This window comes from Homo sapiens, chromosome X (assembly GCF_000001405.40).
Source record: "Homo sapiens chromosome X, GRCh38.p14 Primary Assembly".
Taxonomy (NCBI): Eukaryota; Metazoa; Chordata; class Mammalia; order Primates; family Hominidae; genus Homo; species Homo sapiens.
This window is the reverse complement of record NC_000023.11, coordinates 130,166,247-130,185,127: the sequence shown is the minus strand read 5'-3', so window position 1 is coordinate 130,185,127 and position 18,881 is coordinate 130,166,247. Positions and strand designations below refer to the sequence as shown.

Sequence of the window (18,881 nt, the reverse complement as noted above, 5' to 3'; positions counted from 1 at the left end):
TGCACTTGCTCTCTAGAAAAACATATCTGGCCTGTGTCCCAACCCCACCGGGTGTTTCTGCCCACTGATTACACTGAGTGAGAGAATGAATTAGTCCTGAAGAAGTGACTCAAACGATGAGAATTTCAGAGAGCCTAGAAAGCTGGTAGGGAGTGTGCCACTGGCATGGAGAATATCACTCTAGTAGGGCAAACTGCCTGTTCTGCTCATCACAATCAGGAATGTCTTGGAGGAAAGCAAGACAAAAAGCCATGTGATAATCTATACAAATTTTATTTTGATATCAATTTGTATGGAAACAAGCAGGTGTCAGCATTATGCAGGCACAGAAAAAAGGGAAAGAAAAAACTCCAGTGATAATTTATCTTGTATTTATATCGTTTGGTTTCAACAAGGACAGGAAGTTTTACTGTTAGCTTCCTGTGGGAACTCCAGTTTCTGCACCTTCCCCTGCTGCCTCTCAGCATCACGATACAGCAGGGATTTCTGGGCCTTCAATCGGCAAGCCAAGCACATGAAAATCGACTCCACGTTCTGGCTCTCTTTGGGGTCCTTGGCCGATGTCTCAAACAAGAGCATGTTGTGGGCATCAGCAAATTTCAGGGCTAAGTTGGAGGGCACCTGGATCTGTTCCCTCAAGTCACACTTGTTGCCCACAAGCACTTTGGGGACTAGTGGGGGCACAGCATGCCCATTGCATTCTTGGATCCACATTTTGAGGTTGGTGAAAGATGTCATCTTGGTGACGTCATAGACGAAGACCACGGCATGTACGTTGCGGTAGTAATGCTCGACCATGCTTTTGCGGAAACGTTCCTGACCTGCTGTGTCCCACACCTGAACCTGGAAGATACAAAAACCCAAAGGTGGAGTCAGAAAAGGGAACATGAACAGAGAGGAGAAAACATGGTTCTGTAGCACTATAAAAATGAAGTGACAGGACGGGTGCGGTGGCTCACGCCTATAATCCCAGCACTTTGGGAAGCTGAGGCGGGCAGATCACCTGAGGTCAGGAATTTGAGACCAGCCTGACCAACATGGAGAAACCTCAACTCTACTAAAAATACAAAATTAGCCGGGCATGGTGGTGCATGCCTGTAATCCCAGCTACGGGGGAGGCTGAGGCAAGAGAATTGCTTGAACCAGGGAGTCGGAGGTTGCAGTGAGCCGAGATCACGCCATTGCACTCCAGCCTGGGCAAAAAGAGCAAAACTCCATTTCAAAAAAAATAAAAAAAGTGACAAGCCGTGACACAGGAAGTGGTTCTTTGACAGATGAGCAGAATGGACTTATCAAAGCATAAAGAGAAGTTTCAGGATTTGTCAAGTTTTTCTTAAGATTGTTAACTGAAAATCTTGAGTTGAAAAAAATCTTAAGATTTTTAGTTGAAAAACTGGATGTAAATTGGTCAACTTTTCTGGAGAGCAATTTGGCAATATTATCAAGAACCTCAAAAATGTTCATAACTCTTAGGACCTGAAATCTCACTTCCAGAAATCTATACAAAAGAAATAGGGATGTGGTCAAAATTCTGTACTAATATCTTACAGTGTTATTTAGAATTTTTTTTTTTGAGACCGTGTCTCGCTCTGTCACCCAGGCTGGGGTGCAGTGGCGCCATCTCGGCTCACTGCAAGCTCCGCCTCCCAGGTTCACGCCATTCTCCTGCCTCAGCCTCCCAAGTAGCTGGGACCACAGGTGCCCGCCACCACGCCTGGATAATTTTTTGTATTTTTAGTAGAGATGGGGTTTCACTGTGTTAGCCAGGATGGTCTCGATCTCCTCACCTCGTGATCCGCCTGCCTCAGCCTCCCAAAGTGCTGGGATTACTGGCTTGAGCCACTGAGAATTTTTTTAAAACAGGAAAAACCTAAATGCTCATCAGAAAAGGAATAGCTAAAGTTCATGTCTATACAGTGGGGTCAGGTACAGTGGCTCATGCCTGTAATCCCAGCACTTTGGGAGGCTGAGGCAGGTGGATCATCTGAGGTCAGGAGTTCGAGACCAGCCTGGCCAACATGGTGAAATCCCATCTCTACTAGAAATACAAAAAAAATTAGCCAGGCCTGGTGGTGTGTACCTATAGTCCCAGCTACTCGGGAGGCTGAGACACAAGAATTGCTTGAACCCGGGAGGCGGTGGTTGCAGTAAGCCGAGATCGGGCCACTGCACTTCAGCCTGGGCAACACAGTGAGACTCCGTCTCAAAAAGAATAAACAAAAATGAAAATATATCCGTACAGTGGGATATTATGCAGCCATTAAAAATAATGTTTTCAAAGACTAAATTGTAAGAGAAACGCTCACAAAATACAAGTAAGTGAAAATGCAGAATACAGAATTTTTCTTTTTTCTTTTCTTTTATTTTTTTTTTGAGACAGAATTTCGTTCCTGTTGCCCAGGCTAGAGTGAAATGGCACGATCTCGGCTCACTGCAACCTCTGCCACCTGGGTTCAAGCAATTCTCCCACCTCAGACTCCTGAGTAGCTGGCATTACAGGCATGTGCCACCACGCCCGGCTAATTTTATATTTTTAGTAGAGACGGAGTTTCTCCATGTTGGTCAGGCTGGTCTTGAACTCCCGATCTCAGGTGATCCGCCTGCCTCGGCTTCCCAAAGAGCTGGGATTACAGGCATGAGCCACCACGCCCAGCCTCAAAAGTTTTCATATGCTATGGTCCCAGTTTTTTTTAAGAAACGTTAAACATAAACATATGCAAAGCACAGACTGGAAGTGTACACATCAGAACATTAATGGTTATTTATCAGCAATGAGACTATAGTGATATTTATTTTCTTCTTTTTAAATATTTTTCCATATTTTCTTCTACAAGTATGCATATATATGTTATATATATTACATATATGTTATATATAGTGTATATGTTATATATATTACATATATATGTTATATATATTGTGTGTATATATGTTATATATATGTGTATATATATATATATATATATATATTTTTTTTTTTTTTTTTTTGTAGAGACAGAATCTTGTTATGTTGCCTAGGCTAGTCTCGAACTCTTGGCCTCAAGCAATCCTCCTGCCTCGGCCTCAAAATGTGCTGGGATTACAGGCATGAGCCACTAGCCTGAATAACTTTTTAAAGAAAACAAAGTTAGTATTAAAATCTCACCTTCAAGCCCTATTTATTTATTTATTTATTATTTTGAGATGAGAGTCTTGTTCTGTCGCCCAGGCTGGAGTGCAGTGGTGTGATCTCAGCTCACTGCAACCTCCACATCCTGGGTTCAAGAGATTCTACCACTTCAGCCTTCTGAGGAGCTGGGATTACAGTCGTGCGCCACCATGCCCAGCTAATTTTTGTATTTTTAGTAGAGATGGGGTTTCACCATGTTGGCCAGGCTAGTCTTGAATTCCTGACCTCAAATGATCGAGCCTCCCAAAGTGCTGGGATTACAGGCGTGAGCCACCATGCCCAGCCTCCAATTTATTTTTAAGTTCACTTTTTGGTTATGTAAAAGGAACTTAATTCACTGGATTTTTCTTCTGTATCTCAGCTTTTGGGATAAAGGCCAAATTATGAAGAAAAAGCTGCTATCTGTAACATATGCAAAGACATAACTCCCAGGAGATATACATTCAGCCCAATCTATTTCCCTTTATATATCCAACGTCTTGGACAAGGGAGATTCATGCTCAGAATGATGGTCCCAAGGCCCTATACAATTCTCAGTTATCAAAGAAAATTTGATTATGGCCACTAATTGACTGCTATGGCTCTTAAAACGAAGTATAGCCTTTATTTGGAGTTAGCAGTCAGTAAGTATAATCTAGTAAATATAATTGAATCTGTCGGCTGAGTGAAGATTTTACAGGGCCCTAGAGTCATCATTCCGAATATCAGTTTTCATTGTCCAGGCTCCCCGTCATCTCCCTCTATTGACACAGCTTCCAAGTTCCTCTGGCAAGACCTTCAGATTGAACCCTTCTTCTATTCTGATTTCTGTGTCCCTCGGCCCTCGGCCAGCCTCTCCTCTCCTCACTCCTGGACTAGAGCAAAGTATTTTGGATTGTGGATGTTTCCATTGCAGGGTCTCCTGAACACTGCTCGCTTGCTTGCTTTTTTTTTTTTTTTTTTTTTTTTTTTGAGATGGACTGTTGCTCTGTTGCCCAGGCTGGAGTGCAGTGGTGCAATCTCAGCTCACTGCAACCTCCACCTCCCAGGTTCAAGCGATTCTCCTGCCTCAGCCTCCCAAGTAGCTGGGATAACAGGCGTGTGCCACTGCGCCTGGCTAATTTTTGTATTTTTAGTAGAGATGGGGTTTTGCCGTGTTGGCCAGGCTGGTCTCAAACTCCTGACCTTAGGTAACAAAAAAGTGAACTTAAAAATAAATTGGAGGCCAGGGCGCAGTGGCTCACGCCTGTAATCCCAGCATTTTGGGAGGCTGAGGCGGGCGGATCACGAGATCAGGAGATCGAGACCATACTGGCTAACACAGTTAAACCCCGTCTCTACCAAAAAATATAAAAAAATTAGCTGGGTGTGGTGGCAGGTGCCTGTAGTCCCAGCTACTCGGGAGGCTGAGGCCAGAGAATGGCATGAGCCCGGAAGACGGAGCTTGCAGTGAGCCGAGATGGTGCCACAGCACTCCAGCCTGGGCAACAGAGCTAAACTCCATCTCAAAATAAAAAATAAATAAATAAAAATAAATTGGAGTCTGAGTATAGTGGCTCACTCCTGTAATCCCAGCATGTTGGGAGGCCCAATCACTGCCGATCCACCTGCCTCAGCCCCTGAAAGTGCTGGGATTACAGGCGTGAGCCCCAGTGCCCGATCTCTGAATACTGGCTTTCTGACTAGCTTTAGTCAATCCCTGCTTGTATCAGCATGCCATTCACCTCTTCAGGAAACGACTGCAGCCCTCTACTGTATGTGGCATCACATGGATTCCACATGTGGAATTCTGTCTGCCATAATTTGACCCTTCCCAACCTGGTTTCAAACTACTCAGCTACACCTGGTTGATTCCCTCCTCTGTACTTTGGGTCATGCTAGTCCACTCCTCCCCTATAGAATCAGCTGCCCCCTCATTGCCCTATCCAAATCTCACCCATTCTTCAAGGTTAAGCTCACGCCTCAGGCTTCTTCCTCAAACCTTCGCCAACTTCCCTTCAATTCTCTTTTCTTAGGAATCTCTGTTGCACTTTGAGTCTGCATCATACCATTTTGAATAGATTTATGTTTTCTAATTGTCTCGTCAGTGCTCTTGGCATCTCTCCAGCAAGACTGTAAGCAGTCTTTTTCTGCATCAGACCACACTCGTCACTGAGGTTGTCATCATCATCATTATCAGCAGCAGACACATTATCAAAAGGCAGTGATGGCCTGAACCACTAAAACTACAAGCAGTCTGGCATCCTAGATATGTGCCAAGGGGATTTCAGAGAGAACGTCTGACTGTGATCACACAGAAAAAACATAAGTCCTCAAAGACTGATTTGCTTCTGCAAGCAAGAGACAGAAAATATTTTCATTTCTTCCACCTCTCCGTGGTGTTCCGAACAGGAAGAAAGGGAGAGCAGACCACAGGAGGAATGGAGGTCAGTAGGAAGACAGCAGGCATAGCCCAGGAATATCATTACCACTTGGCTCCTGATCCCCACTCCCCCCACCCCCCAGGAGTCTTCACTCTTGCCTTTTGCCTCTGAAGAAGTCTGAATCCCTACCAGCCCTCAGGCATGTGGCAGATGCTTTAACACCATGAGCTCAGGACTCTAAAAATACCTGCCACTAGCAGGAACACGGGTGGGAGTGTGTGAGGTGTTTGAGGCTGAGTGAGGTTGGCCATTTGGCTTTTCTTTGGCTTCATAATTGCGTATGCCGCCCAAATTGCCGGAACTGCCAGGAGGGCCCTCTCTGCTGGAGACCTCCTCTGTCTTTCCAACACTATTGGGAGCCTTGAAGCTTTTATTTGGAGGCTCCGAATTTAAACTGCAGGCACTGCTCCCTTCCAGCTCTTTGTAAACCCCACCCTGAGTTCTTTGCAGACGTGTCTGTCGTGAGAGGGGAGCCAGGAAGCAGGCTGCTCGCAGCAGAAAATAGAAGAACCAGTGGTGTGGCCTCAGAACCATCAGAAAGGAAGATCACAGCAGGCAGGCTCCCTAAACACATGAAATGATCTCATTAAAAAAAAAAAAAAAATCGCCGGGCGCGGTGGCTCACGCCTGTAATCCCAGCACTTTGGGAGGCCGAGGCAGGTGGATCACAAGGTCAGGAGATCGAGACCATCCTGGCTAACGCGGTGAAACCCTGTCTCTACTAAAAAATACAAAAAATTAGCTGGGCGTGGTGGTGGACGCCTGTAGTCCCAGCTACTCGGGAGGCTGAGACAGGAGAATGGCGTGAACCTGGGAGGCGGAGCTTGCAGTGAGTCGAGATGGCGCCACTGCACTCCAGCCTGGGCGACAGAGCAAGACTCTGTCTCAAAAATAAATAAATAAATTAATTAATTAATTTTAAAAAATCAGACATGGTCTCGCTCAGTCACCCAGGTTGGAGTGCAGTGGCATGATCTCGGCTCATTGCAGCCTCAACTTCCCCAGGCTCAGGTGATCCTCCCACCTTGGCCTCCCGAGTAGCTGGGACTACAGGCATGCACCACCACACCCGGCTAATTTTTGTATTTTTTGTAGAGATGGGGTTTCCCCATGTTGCCCAGGCTGGTCTCAAATTCCTAGGCTCAAGTGATCTGCCCACCTGGGCCTCCCAAAGTGCTGGGACTCTAGGTGTGAGCCACCACGCCTGGTCTCTTTCTCTCTCTCTCTCTCTCTCTTTTCCAGACAAGATCTCATTGTGTCACCCAGGCTGGAGTGCAGCAGTGCAATCATGGCTCACTGCAGCCTCAACCTCCTAGGCGCAAGCAATCCTCCCTCTTCAGCCTTCGGAGTAACTGGGACTACAGGCACGCACCAGCACACCCAACTAATTTTCATATTTTTTTTATTTCATAGAGATGGGGTCCTCCTTATGTTGCCCAGGCTGGTCTGGATCTCCTGGGCTCAAGCAATCATCCTGCCTCGGCCTCCCAAAGTGCTGGCAAGCCACCTTACCTAGCAGTGATCTCATTTTGTTTGAGAGTTAGGTGTTCCTTTCTCAGCATCTTCATAAACCCCTGGCCCCTGCCAAGCAGTGAAAGCATCTCCTTCCTCTTTCGCAGCTGCCTCTCCTCTCACCCTTTCCTCCTTTCCTGTGGGCACCATATCCATACAGTGGATGGGGGTGAAGACTGCCTCTTAGCCACAGCCACATACATGTACCCCAGATCCTTGTTTCTGTCAGATGGCCAATGGGGTATAGTGGAGTCAAATCAACTTGGGTGCAGATCTCGGCCCAAGTCATGTTAGTACATGACTTGTTAGGTGTCCTTAGATAAGTTAGGTGTCCTTAGGTAAGTTACTTTCTCTGACTTCAGTGTCCTCATCTGGAAAGTGATGATAACAATAGTAATCAGGTAGGGATGCTATGAGGATTAGTAGTCCTTGTAAGTATGTGACCCAGTGCCTAATATACACTCTCCCTTCTTTCATGGCCTGAAACCTCCACCATTAAGTCTAGATGGGCAACAACTTGAGCAAGCACTGTTGGAAAGGCAGCAAGCATCCCAGCTCTTCTGCTCAGAAGCTGAGTAAATGCCAGACAAGTCTTTTAACCTCCCTGAACTGAGCCTTGTTTTTCTCATCTCTGCAATGGGACCTTGATCCTCCTATGGTTGCTGGGATGATCCAGTGAAATAACACATGAGAAAGGACTTTTGGAAAATGTCAAGCACTCTGCAAATATTAGTTGTTGCTCTGGTCTCAGAAAGGCCATCAAGCCCTCTCCTGTTGGTATGGTTCCTTGGGTCCATTGGTCTCTCATCCTGGAAATCACAGAAAGCTTGGCTTCTCGAAGGTGAGACAGAGCTAAAGGCCATCCAGTGGGGAGGGGGTGGAGAGAGGAATACTGGCAACATGCCATGGGTGGCCGGGGGCAGGCCCGAACTGATGGGGTGCTGGAGGAGGATGGAGGGGCACAGCATGGGGAACTGCCAAAGAGATATCTAACCTTTTGAACTATTTTCTGGGCGAGCTTCAGCAAGCCCCCAACCCCCTGCATGTGCTCTTAGCTGACAGGGGGATTTCTTTTCCCTAGGAAACATTAACTGGCATCTTTCTATAGATGAGGCATGAATGTGCTTTTGTTGGAGGCCGATGGGGGAGGGTAGAAGTGCAAAAAAAGGAGACAAATACATCTGTAACCTCTGGAGCATGCCCCAGTGGATGATGGGAAAAGTTTAAAAGAAACCTGTTTTCAACTAGCTGGACTGTCCCATCTGCATCTAAGATCCACACACAAAGCTGACACAGAGAATGGCAAAGGAGGACAGAGACAAAGAGAAACTCACACACAGAAAGAAGCAGCAAGGGAGACAGAGAAACTTACACTGATGGATAATTAACCATTAAGTTAACTGGCAGAAGATAGAAGCTCAGAAGCCCTAAGGAAGAAATGATGTCATTCTGACTGCAGGCAGCTTCCAAGGAACACTTAGCTCAGCCTCCATCCACTTGATAATGTAACACAGGAAGGTATTTTTTTTCCCCCAGTGATCAGTAGAGGAACAGAAACTCACAGTCCTGAGCTGTACCTGCCCATAGCCACAGCTGACCTGCAGTTTGTCTTGTCCCCAGGGCTGGGGCACAGGGAGTGCCCAGCCTGTGGGAGGAACCAAACTATTATAGACAGAAGTGAAGCTTCCATGCAAATATACAAAGAATGATTCAAAAATTAGTTTCTTAGCCTCCCCTCTACTACATACCCTCCCTCTCTACACACACACACACACCCCTATTCGGCATTTTCCAATGCATTTAGGAGACAGACTCAATAAATTTAGCTACATCTGTAGGTGACAGACACATCATAGTCATTAAGGGAAGCTCCACTCTTCCTTTGGGGGCTGGGGGATGCCTCCACCCTTCCTAGGCTGATGTCAGGAAAGACTGTCAGCTATCTCTTATGATGTCCCTCTGGATTCTTGTCATAGGTGGCCTTGTGGGTTGGATGGACCATGGAGCTAGGCTGGAGAGAGGATTTTGTGCCAGGCAGCATGATGTGTGGAAAGAGCACCAGAAAGGGAATTAGGAGACATGAGTTCTAGGCCTGGCCCTGTGTGATCTTGGGCAAGTCACTTTCCCTCTCTGAGTCTCAGTTTCCTATCTGCAAGAGGAGGACACTGGATCACAGAATCTGTAACATCTCTTTTATCTCTGAACATTTTCTGCATCTCACACCTGAGTTGAGATAATCAAGGTGCAAAAAGTAAACCCAGGGCTCCCGCCTGTAATCCCAGCACTTTGGGAGGTCGAGGCAGGTGGATCACCTGAGGTCAGGAGTTCGAGACCAGCCTGGCTAACATGGTGAAACCCCATCTCTACTAAAAATATAAAAATTAGCTGGGCATCATGGCAGGTGCCTATAATCCCAGCTACTCAGGAGGCTGAGGCAGGAGAACTGCTTGAACCCAGGAGGCCGAGGTTGCAGTGAGCTGAGATCGTGCCATTGCACTCCAGCTTGGGCAACAAGAGTGAAACTCCCTCTCAAAAAAAAAAAAAAAAAAAAAGTAAACCCAGTTGAGTTCTGTGTGTCCTGGATACAAATTGAAGGAGACATCTGAAAGGCTCCTGGGGGCCTTGGGCTATAACCCTAAGTCCCTGGCCTAGAAGAAAGAGCAAGACTGGCTGCCTGGCATTCTATCTCCCCCTGTCAAACTCCCCCAATCTAGGGGACTGAATATTGTCCTGTAGAGTGAAATGCAGTGGTAAAGGGCATGGTCTCTGAATCTGGGTTGAAATCGTGGCCCTGTAACAGGAAAGGTAGGATAGTGAGGTGGCGAAGTGCTTGGGCTCAAGAGTCAAAGGCTGAAGCTCAGATCCATGTGCCACTGGGTTATTTCATCTCTCTTAGCCTCAGTCTCCTTATCTATAAAATGGGAATGATAACAATACTGCTGATTTCATAAAGCTGCTGTGAGGAGTAAATAAGATAATGCATGTAAAGTGCCTAGCCTGGGCTCTTTGCTTATTCAATACATAGTTGTTATTATTATTATTATTATTGCCTACTCATTGGAGGCTTTTCTTGATGTTCATACAATTGAGTTCATCAGGACTCAATTGTAAATGCTTTGATGGGGTGAGGGTGGGGAACATAATGATTGGAGACAGCAAATGGGGCTTCAATACCCTAGGGATGGCCTTGATAATTAATTACAGTGTGGCTCTAACTACACCAAATCAGTTGTCCCTAGCAGGGGTTCATGTATGTGCTACCCCGGGACACAGGCAGGCAGCCCAGAAGAGGCCACACCCTTGCTCTTAGACTGAGAAGAGCTGGCTGAGACCTCTCTACCACTCTCCTCCAAGGGCTGGTATGTTACAGCCCAAAAGCCTTCTATTGCTGGCCATGGTCTAGGCCAGACCTCGGACTGTCACACTGGACTTTTCTCTCTCTCGCAAAGGACGAAGCCCTTGGCAGTCATCTCCAAGCATGGCTTTGGCATGTATTCCTTGAACAACTTCAGGCTAGCCAGAGTGCGAGGCCAAATCTTCTCTTATCTAGATCACGTGCTAGCCGCCAGGCTCTGCCATCTTCCCACAGACATGCTGGTCTCTCGCCTGCCAGCATGGTCCTGAGATTGCAGCAGCTTTACAAGAAGCAGGGTCACCATCTCCCCACTCCCACACGCCACTCTGAGCTCCTTTGGAATCTGCCCTCAGAGGACTCCTCCATGAGCAGTGTCACAAGGCTTTGTCCCCTTGAAAATATCATCTTCCCCAAAAAAGCCTGTATTAAGCACTTATCTGCACGTGGTGTTGTGCTGAGCTCTGTTTCTAGTGAGTCACACTGTCACAGGCTCTGCCCTCTGGGAAAAAGTCTGGAATCTTTGCCAGAGACTGTAAAGTCCAGTTTGGCTAAGTACTGGGGTGTTAGAAGAGAAGGAATAGTTTAAAAATTCCTTCAAGGCCACTGGGTGGTGACTCTTCCACTCGTGTTCATCTGTCATCCCTCACTTTCTAGCTTCTTCCTCCCTCCTTCTTTAGATTCCCAAACACTTCATTTTTTCCATCTAAATTTCAGATGGACTTATTTCCCACCTTTTAAATCCAGGGAACTCTTTGGCTCACTGTAGCACTTGATTTTAAGCAAATGGGAGCATTAGGTTTTTGAGGTTTAAGAGCCCATCTGTAAAGATATTTCTACTTTGGATTACAAAGTCATGTTTTAGAAATTCTAGAATCTTATAGCCTTACATTAAAGAAGCTAGACACACTAGAGGAAGTCTTAACCAAGCAAATGTCAACAGCCCCAGGAAAGGACAGAGACAGATACCGCCTTTGACTTTAAAAGGAAATGTAGCACTTCCCTTCCAAAATGCAAGGGGCAAAAAAGATCACGATTTCAAAATAATGTTCTATCTTCCTACCCTGGGGCTCTCCCTTATCAGTACTGAGCTGTCCATCTTCCTGACATCTAGTGAGTTGGCCTAGTTTCTGAAGCCATTTTTAGAACACGTTCATTTTAATAATCAAGGAGTCAGGAGTCTCGCACAGTTTCAAGTGTTTCATCAGTTTCATCAGTTACTCAGCCCTTCTCTCCACGTCACTCAGAGGAGGGGCCTTGTGGTCACTTTGGCAGTTTGACCAGCAAGAAGGAGGCTTACTGTCACCCCTGACTCTGTCTAAGGTCCAACCATACGCTCAAGGAAAGGCCAGCTGTGAGCCTAGAGGAGTTGTCTTCAGTGATCCCAGTGCCTTTATAGAGGCCCCCCTCTGCTCCCCATGACACAAGAAGTTGCCCTTGTTATGTCCTCCCTCCCGCCATCCCCTGCACATTGACATATTCCTGTCATATCAGGTTTCTACCTTTTCTGAATTAAAGGTGAGCACAAATGGTCAGACAAGAATATTTGCACTTAGCCTATTACATAAACTCATGGAGGGGGAGGATTGAACATTCCCCTGGCCCTCGGTTAAGTCACTGCATTTTTACAAAGACCTGAAGACAATACCAACAGAATGAATAAGGAGCAGTTCATGTATTAGATGCCCCAGACAAGTAAAGAAGATATCATTCCAGGGGGGCTGTTACAAAAAAACAAGTTTTGTCTATTACGAAGGGCTGGACCCTGCCTCAATTTCTTTAAAAGGGCTCATGGCTTTCTGCCAGAACCACCCCACTCCACCGCCATCTCAACTCAGCCCTAATTTTTTAACTATAAACTGCAATTTAAAATAAAGCAGCTTTTTCATTCTCCATGGATTTCCATCATTTCCTTCCCTCTAACGCCTTGAGGCTTAGCCAAAGTGGGGTTTTGCAGCCTATCGGCACCCAAGCAGTAGAAGAGACATCAGGATGTGTAAAGTGCTTTGGGATCCATCCCAGAGACTAGGACCCACAGATGCCTCCTGCCTCCCTCTGCCCACAGGTGCCGCTGCTCGGGGTAGGGGTCATGGATGGGAATCCAACATGCTTTTCCTGGCAGGACCTGTCAGGCAGGGGCTAAGGGTAAGAATGCAACCCCATTCTCAACCGCCCTAAAAAACTGAGTGAAGTGGGGACGGGGCCCCGCTGAGAGAGGTGAAAAGGGGTGAGGAGGAGCCGAGGGTCCTCGGCTCAGCAAGAGGCGAAACCGCCACGCGCTGGACGCTGGACGACGACAACCGCTAGAGCTATGCCTCGGGCGAGGTCCCCTCCCGGGTCCCACCCTTCCTGGACCTGACCCCCTGGATCACCTTGATCTTCTCGCCCTCGATTTCCACGGTCTTCTCCCTGAAGTCCACGCCGATGGTGGCTTCAGTCTTGTCTGGGAAGGTACCCCCGCAGAAGCGGAAGGTCAGGCAGGTCTTGCCCACGTTGGAGTCCCCAATCACGATTATTTTGAAGATGCGAATCTGCACGTACTGGTCCAGCGACGAGTCGAGCTCCAGGGACGCCAGGCCAGCGGCCGAGGCGGGCTGCAGGCTCCCATGGCCCAGGATGGGCTGCGCCATCTCCCCCGGACCGAACCGGGGCCCCAACCCCCCTTGAGGGCTCCACACAAAGAGAACGTCCACGTTCGTGCGCTCGAGGCGAGCGAGCTCTGTGCGTGTGTGTGTGCGCGCGTGTGTGTGTGTCCGCCCGTGTGTGCGTGCGCCGGCACCGTGTGCGCGCGCGCGCGTGAAGGGGGTGCCTCTCACTCCGGGCCCCCCTCCTCCTCCTCCAGCGCACCCTCCTTGCAGCTCGGAGGCACCAACACAAAAGCCAGGGAGAGGAGGAGAGAGGGAGGAGAGTGGACGAGCCGCGAGCCTTCTGCCTGTGTGCGCCCTCGGACCGGATGCTCTGGCGAAGGACCCTACCGCGCTGCTCCAGCCGCCGCCGCGCCTCGGCCCACACCCTCCCCTGCCTGCATTCCCGGGACGGACCCGAGGGAAGAAGCCTCAGGAGGAAAGAGACGGGGTGGGGACAGCGGCACACGCCACCCCGGGATAGACTTCTTTCTCCTTGCCCCCGTTTATGTTATAGGTTTCGGGCTCCCCACCCCCACTGGCTCGAGCGCACGGGGTCAGCGGGCAGGGAGCACAGCTGGGGAGGACAAAGAGCTGCACCTTAAGACATCACTGGATCACTTCGGCCTCCCTGGAGCAACGCAACTCTGCGGGGATGGGGTGGGGGCGGAGGCACCTCTTTCACCTCGGGAGCAGCGGGCAGCTGAGCCGCGCCTTCCCGGTCCCCGCTACCCCGTCCCCTCTACCCCCACCCTCTACCCGACCCGCGCCTTGGGATAAAGGGATGCTCTGTCTTAATGAGTGAGCAGGTGCACTCGCGGGCCCCAGGCAGCCTGGGAGGCCGCTGCCAAGACACGCAGTGGGTTGTCCGGGGCCTGTACAGCTGAGAGGAGGGAGCCAGCGGGCACGCGTGTGCGTGTGTAGGGGGTGTAACTGTTTCTGTTACAGACTTGCCAGATGTAGGGGGGCGCGTACCAGGCGCCAACATCCCCTTATCACACCACGCGCACCCATCCTCTGAATGTTCAGGAGAGCGGCTCCTATTGGCTGCCGCAGTCGGTTGTGTTTGGCTGGCCAATGGGGAAGGCCCGCCGCGGGAGAGGGCCACACAGAGGCTAGGAGAAGGGGGGGAAGCTAGTGGTGGCAGTTCCAGCAAAAGGGGACTTTGTTTACGGGGCTAGCCATTACTGGCCCAGGTGGAGGATCTTGGGACAATGGCATAAGCTCCACAGTGCCTTCCATTCCCAAGCCCTCCATATAACCATAAGTCCCTCCAGAACGCTGGAGTTTCAGAGGGAGTTGGGAATCCCTAGGAGGGTTCACCTCCCCCTGCAGCTGAATGTAGAACAAAGTGGTTGGGTCTAATTTGCCAGAAGCCTAGATTATGCTTGGAAGATGATAAATGAACACAACCTCCTTACAGTATTAGGGGGCTGCTGCCCAAAGCTTACTAATCATCACACACATCTTGGTCAAGACCAGTATTCCTTCTCCCTAAAGTCATTCGCGGGTTCAGAATTTGTTTGAAATCGACTTTACTGGGGGTACAATTTACATACGATAAAGTGCACCCATTTGTTTCTTTTAAGACTTTACCTCTCCCCCTACATATTTCATAAGCTAAGGTAACACTGACACATGTCACTAGCACTGACTCGTGAGTTATTGCTAATGCCATCAAGGTCAGGGATTCAAACAGCACAGTTGAGCTGCCATCTTATTTGGGAGGTTGAGCTGCAGGAAGAGACAAACATGACCAAATCCATTTCTGCTGAGAGAAAAACAATTCAGTGCATCAGTGATATACCTGAAAGCAAATTGGAATGTGACTACTCAAGGACGTCCAAGTTACTCAGAATGGCATCTTCCAGTTAATAAGTTTATTAGCTGAGCTAGCAGATATATTTACAGCTAACCCTTTTATCATATATGTGGGTCGCCCATTTCTAAAACCCTACATTATACTACTCAGCATTAAAACTACCCAGATAAGGATTTCCTCTTAGTTGGCTAATCCAAAATCATCCTTATGAATACCAATTTTCATTGTATTATGTATCAATCATCATTGTACAGTATTTTTGGTTTTGATTAGTCTGATGCCTAGTTTGCTGGATCGTTCCCCTCTGTATTGGAAGTTAATGCCCCTGATGATCTTTATCTACAGAATAGCTTTAAGGTGGAGAGGGGTAACTATTAATTAGGTACATCCTGTACACAAAGTAGAAAGGGGCTTTGCCCTTTGCCAATTCACAGCTAGAATTAATGCTAACTTCCTGAGAGATATTAAAAAAACATATGTACATAATAAGATTATTTCAATGTAAGCTTCTAGCAAAAACTTGTCACTGAGTCTACTTTTGTAAGGAAGAAACTTTGATTTCTGAAAATATGATATCTCAAAATGGGCTTCTTGCCCTAATAAAAGGTGTCTGTTACTTCTGTGGGGTGAGACTTTGGGGGATTTCCACTTATATTTTTTGGAATTAATTCAATGAGTATATATTGCTTTTGAAAAAAGATAAAAATATAATTTTTAATTAAAAGGACAGGAAAACTACCTTATTGTACCTATTGTAAAAAAATTAAATGTACTGTACAATGCCCTTTGTGTTAATTGTGCATTATTAAATTACTTTCAAATACATGCAGTTGTTTTCATAGGTACCTGATTATCATGATTTTGACAGTGTTTTCCAGTCTCTTTTGCCATCAGATATAATTAACTTTGTATTTAATCAATCCATGATTATTGGTTTTTACAAATATCAATAAAAATCAATGCAAGGCTGTTAAAATGTTAAGTAAATATAAATAATTTTTACCTTACTTTGGAATTGATACTTTTTTTTTTTTTTTTTGAGATGGAGTCTCGCTCTGTCACCCGGGCTGGAGTGCAGTGACACAATCTCGGCTCACTGCAAGCTCCGCCTCCCAGGTTCACGCCATTCTCCTGCCTCAGCCTCCCAAGTAGCTGGGACTACAGGCGCCCGCCACCACGCCTGGCTAATTTTTTTGTATTTTTAGTAGAGACGGGGTTTCACTGTGTTAGCCAGGCTGGTCTCGATCTCCGGACCTCGTGATCCGCCCGCCTTGGCCTCCCAAAGTGCTGAGATTACAGGCATGAGCCACCGTGCCCGGCCTGGAATTGATACTTTCAATATTTATCCCCTGGCCTAAAGTGATCCACCCTCCTCGGCCTCCCAAAGTGCTGGGATTACAGGCATGAGCCACAGAGCCTGACCATATTTTCAATATTTATCCAAAGGAGCTCTAGATAAAATGTCACCCATTGCCTGCACTTCTGAACACTGATCTACTCTGCTTAATGGGTAAGGGAGCCCTGGATCATCTTCACCACATAATGACTACTTCCTAGGCCTGGCACAGTGGCTCACACGTGTAATCCCAACACTTTGAGAGGCTGAGGCAGCAGGATTGCTTGAGCCCAGGAGTTCAAGACCAGCCTGGGCAACGTAATGAGACTGTCTCTTAAAGAAAACCAAAAAACAAAACTACTTCCTGGGTTAAACTTCACAGAAGGGTGTCTTTGTAGGCCGGGCGAGGTGGCTCATGCCTGTAATCCAAGCACTTTGGGAGGCCGAGGCGGGCGATCACCTGAGATCAGGAGTTCAAGACCAGCCTGGACAACATTGTGGAACCCCGTCTCTACTAAAAATAGAAAAATTAGCAGGGCGCGGTGGCATCTGCCTGTAATCCCAGCTACTCGGGAGGCTGAGGCAGGAGAATTGCTTGAACCTGGGAGGCAGAAGTTGCAGTGAGCCGAGATACTGCCACTGCACTCCAGCCTGGGTGACAAAGGGAGACTCCGTCTCAAGAAAAAAAAAAAAAAAAAAAGAGTATCTTTGTAATTTCTTTCTTTTTCTTTTTTGAAATAGGGTCTCGCTCTGTCATCCAGGCTGGAGTGCACGGGAGCAATCACTGCTCACTGCAGTCTCGATCTCCTAGGCTCAAGTGATCCTCCCATCTCAGCCTCCTGAGTAGCTGGAACCACAGGCACATACCACCACGCCTGGCTAATTTAAAAAAAAAATGGTAGAGATGATGTCTCATTATGTGCTCAGGCTGGTCTGGAACTCCTGGCCTCAAGCAATCTTCCCACTCGTCCTCCCAAAGTACTGGCATTACAGGCATGAGCCACTGCACCCGGCCCTGTAATTTCATTCTCTATCCCCATTCCACCAAAAAAAAAAAAAAAGTAACTTCATTACCTCCAAAGTTAGGGCCCAACTCTTGCCAGTTCAAATCTGGCCCCCCACCATACTTGCCTGTCTTTATCACTACTTCTTTATTTTTTTCTTTTTGGAGACAGAGTCTTGCTCCATCATCCAGGCTGGAGTGCAGTGGCACAATCTTGGCTCACTGCAGCCTCCACCTGGCAGGTTCAAGCGAGTCTCCTGCCTCAGTCTCCCTAGTAGCTGGGATTACAGGCGCATGCCATGGCGCCCGGCTAATTTTTGGATTTTTTGTAGAGACGGGGTTTCACCATGTTGGCCAGACTGGTCTTAAACTCCTGACCTAAAGTGATTCACCCGCCTAGGCCTCCCAAAGTGCTGGGATTACAGGCATGAGCCACGGAGCCTGACCACATCAATACTTCTTAGTATGTACTCTCTATCATTGTCCCCCGAAAATGTGCTGGGTTTTGGTTTTTTAAAACAGTTCCAAGCCTTTTCATTTAACAAACAGCATGGTGCTTCCTCTAAGACACTTTACAAATATTAGCTCATTTAGTCTTCCGAACACCCTCCTGAGATTTGTAGATGAGGAAAATGAGGCACAATTAAGTGACTTGCCCAGGTGGCAGAGCCAGGATTCAATGTGGGTTGGTCTGGATCCAAGGTCAACATGTTTAACAATGAAAAATGTTATCTTTGGTCCGAAAGTATTCACCATCTGAAATATCAATCCTTTTCCTCTACTGTTTGAATTTTACTACTCATCCTTCAAGACACAACTCAAATAACTTCTTACACGAAGTTCTACCATAGTGATTCCATCCCATAGTCTTCTCTCTTGCTCTGTCCGGCACTACACCAGATATTATTTCAATGACCGGTATATGTCATCTCCCCAACTAGACAGTGGCCACTTCCTATATAGATGCTATGTCCAAATAAACCCATTGTAAACTGAAAATATCGTTAAGTCGAAACTGCATTTAATACCCTGATAAACCCATCATAAAGTCAAAAAACCGTAAGTTGAACCATGCTTAAGTCCAGATGCTCCTCGACTGACATGGGGTTAGGTCTCATTAAACCCATCATAAAGTCGAAAAATTGTAAGTCGAACCATTGTGAGGGGTAAGTCGGGGACCATCCGTACTTTTCATACCCAACAGAGCCCCTTTTATAGTACAATCCAAGAGGTAAGTGCTCAATAAATACTTGTTAAATGAATATGTAAGCTGAATCTTTGAAACAGGCACATTGTATGTTCTGCATGCAGCCAAAACATTATTTCCAATTTAGCTTATATCTGGCAGAGTCAAAACACTTATTTACACTCAGCCCCTCACCCTACTCCCATAACTGAAAGTTCTGCTTAGCAGACTTCTCTTCCCAGAAAGTCCGAGAAGCACGAACGCTTTTTGCTAACATCCTGCTCCCAAGCACAGAAACCACAGCAGGAGACTGTGTGTATCTGTAGCACCTGGTATACAGCATCTAGGACACACAACTGAACTAATAAATAAAGGTGACAGGCGGGAAGAAGAGCGCAGAATTACTTGTCCAGGAAACGGGTTGGGTGGGAAAGAGCCGGCAACTGGTAAAAGATGGAAGTACACGCCGGATCTG

At 47.2% G+C, this 18,881-nt stretch overlaps 1 protein-coding gene across 2 annotated transcripts in view, besides 5 other annotated features; it reads right to left on the bottom strand.

Moving 5' to 3' along the window:
- RAB33A (RAB33A, member RAS oncogene family) overlaps positions 258 to 18,881 on the bottom strand; it is a 74,248-nt gene continuing 55,624 nt past the window's right edge. Inside the window, exons 1-2 of one of the 2 annotated variants that reach the window (NM_004794.3) lie at positions 12,808 to 13,166; positions 258 to 843 (exon numbers count right to left, since the gene is read on the bottom strand). In NM_004794.3, the coding sequence (NP_004785.1) occupies positions 388 to 843; positions 12,808 to 13,065 (714 nt within the window). In that variant the 5' untranslated portion in view covers positions 13,066 to 13,166 and the 3' untranslated portion in view covers positions 258 to 387. Of the gene's footprint in view, positions 844 to 12,807; positions 13,167 to 18,881 lie in introns of those variants that run through there. The other variant, XM_017029963.3, reaches the window with a different exon arrangement.
- Positions 8,477 to 8,546: an enhancer, noted in NCBI's record as "active region_29941". NCBI's record gives its function as "activates an Ori minimal core promoter by ATAC-STARR-seq in GM12878 lymphoblastoid cells {active_cell/tissue: GM12878}" and the evidence as "EXISTENCE:reporter gene assay evidence [ECO:0000049][PMID:35858748]".
- Positions 12,629 to 13,583: an enhancer, noted in NCBI's record as "H3K4me1 hESC enhancer chrX:129305519-129306473 (GRCh37/hg19 assembly coordinates)". NCBI's record gives its function as "activates a minimal SCP1, AML or CMV promoter by ChIP-STARR-seq in naive and primed H9 embryonic stem cells {active_cell/tissue: H9 hESC(naive and primed)}" and the evidence as "EXISTENCE:reporter gene assay evidence [ECO:0000049][PMID:30033119]".
- Positions 13,703 to 13,782: a silencer, noted in NCBI's record as "silent region_20997". NCBI's record gives its function as "represses an Ori minimal core promoter by ATAC-STARR-seq in GM12878 lymphoblastoid cells {active_cell/tissue: GM12878}" and the evidence as "EXISTENCE:reporter gene assay evidence [ECO:0000049][PMID:35858748]".
- Positions 13,953 to 14,012: a silencer, noted in NCBI's record as "silent region_20996". NCBI's record gives its function as "represses an Ori minimal core promoter by ATAC-STARR-seq in GM12878 lymphoblastoid cells {active_cell/tissue: GM12878}" and the evidence as "EXISTENCE:reporter gene assay evidence [ECO:0000049][PMID:35858748]".
- Positions 14,393 to 14,442: an enhancer, noted in NCBI's record as "active region_29940". NCBI's record gives its function as "activates an Ori minimal core promoter by ATAC-STARR-seq in GM12878 lymphoblastoid cells {active_cell/tissue: GM12878}" and the evidence as "EXISTENCE:reporter gene assay evidence [ECO:0000049][PMID:35858748]".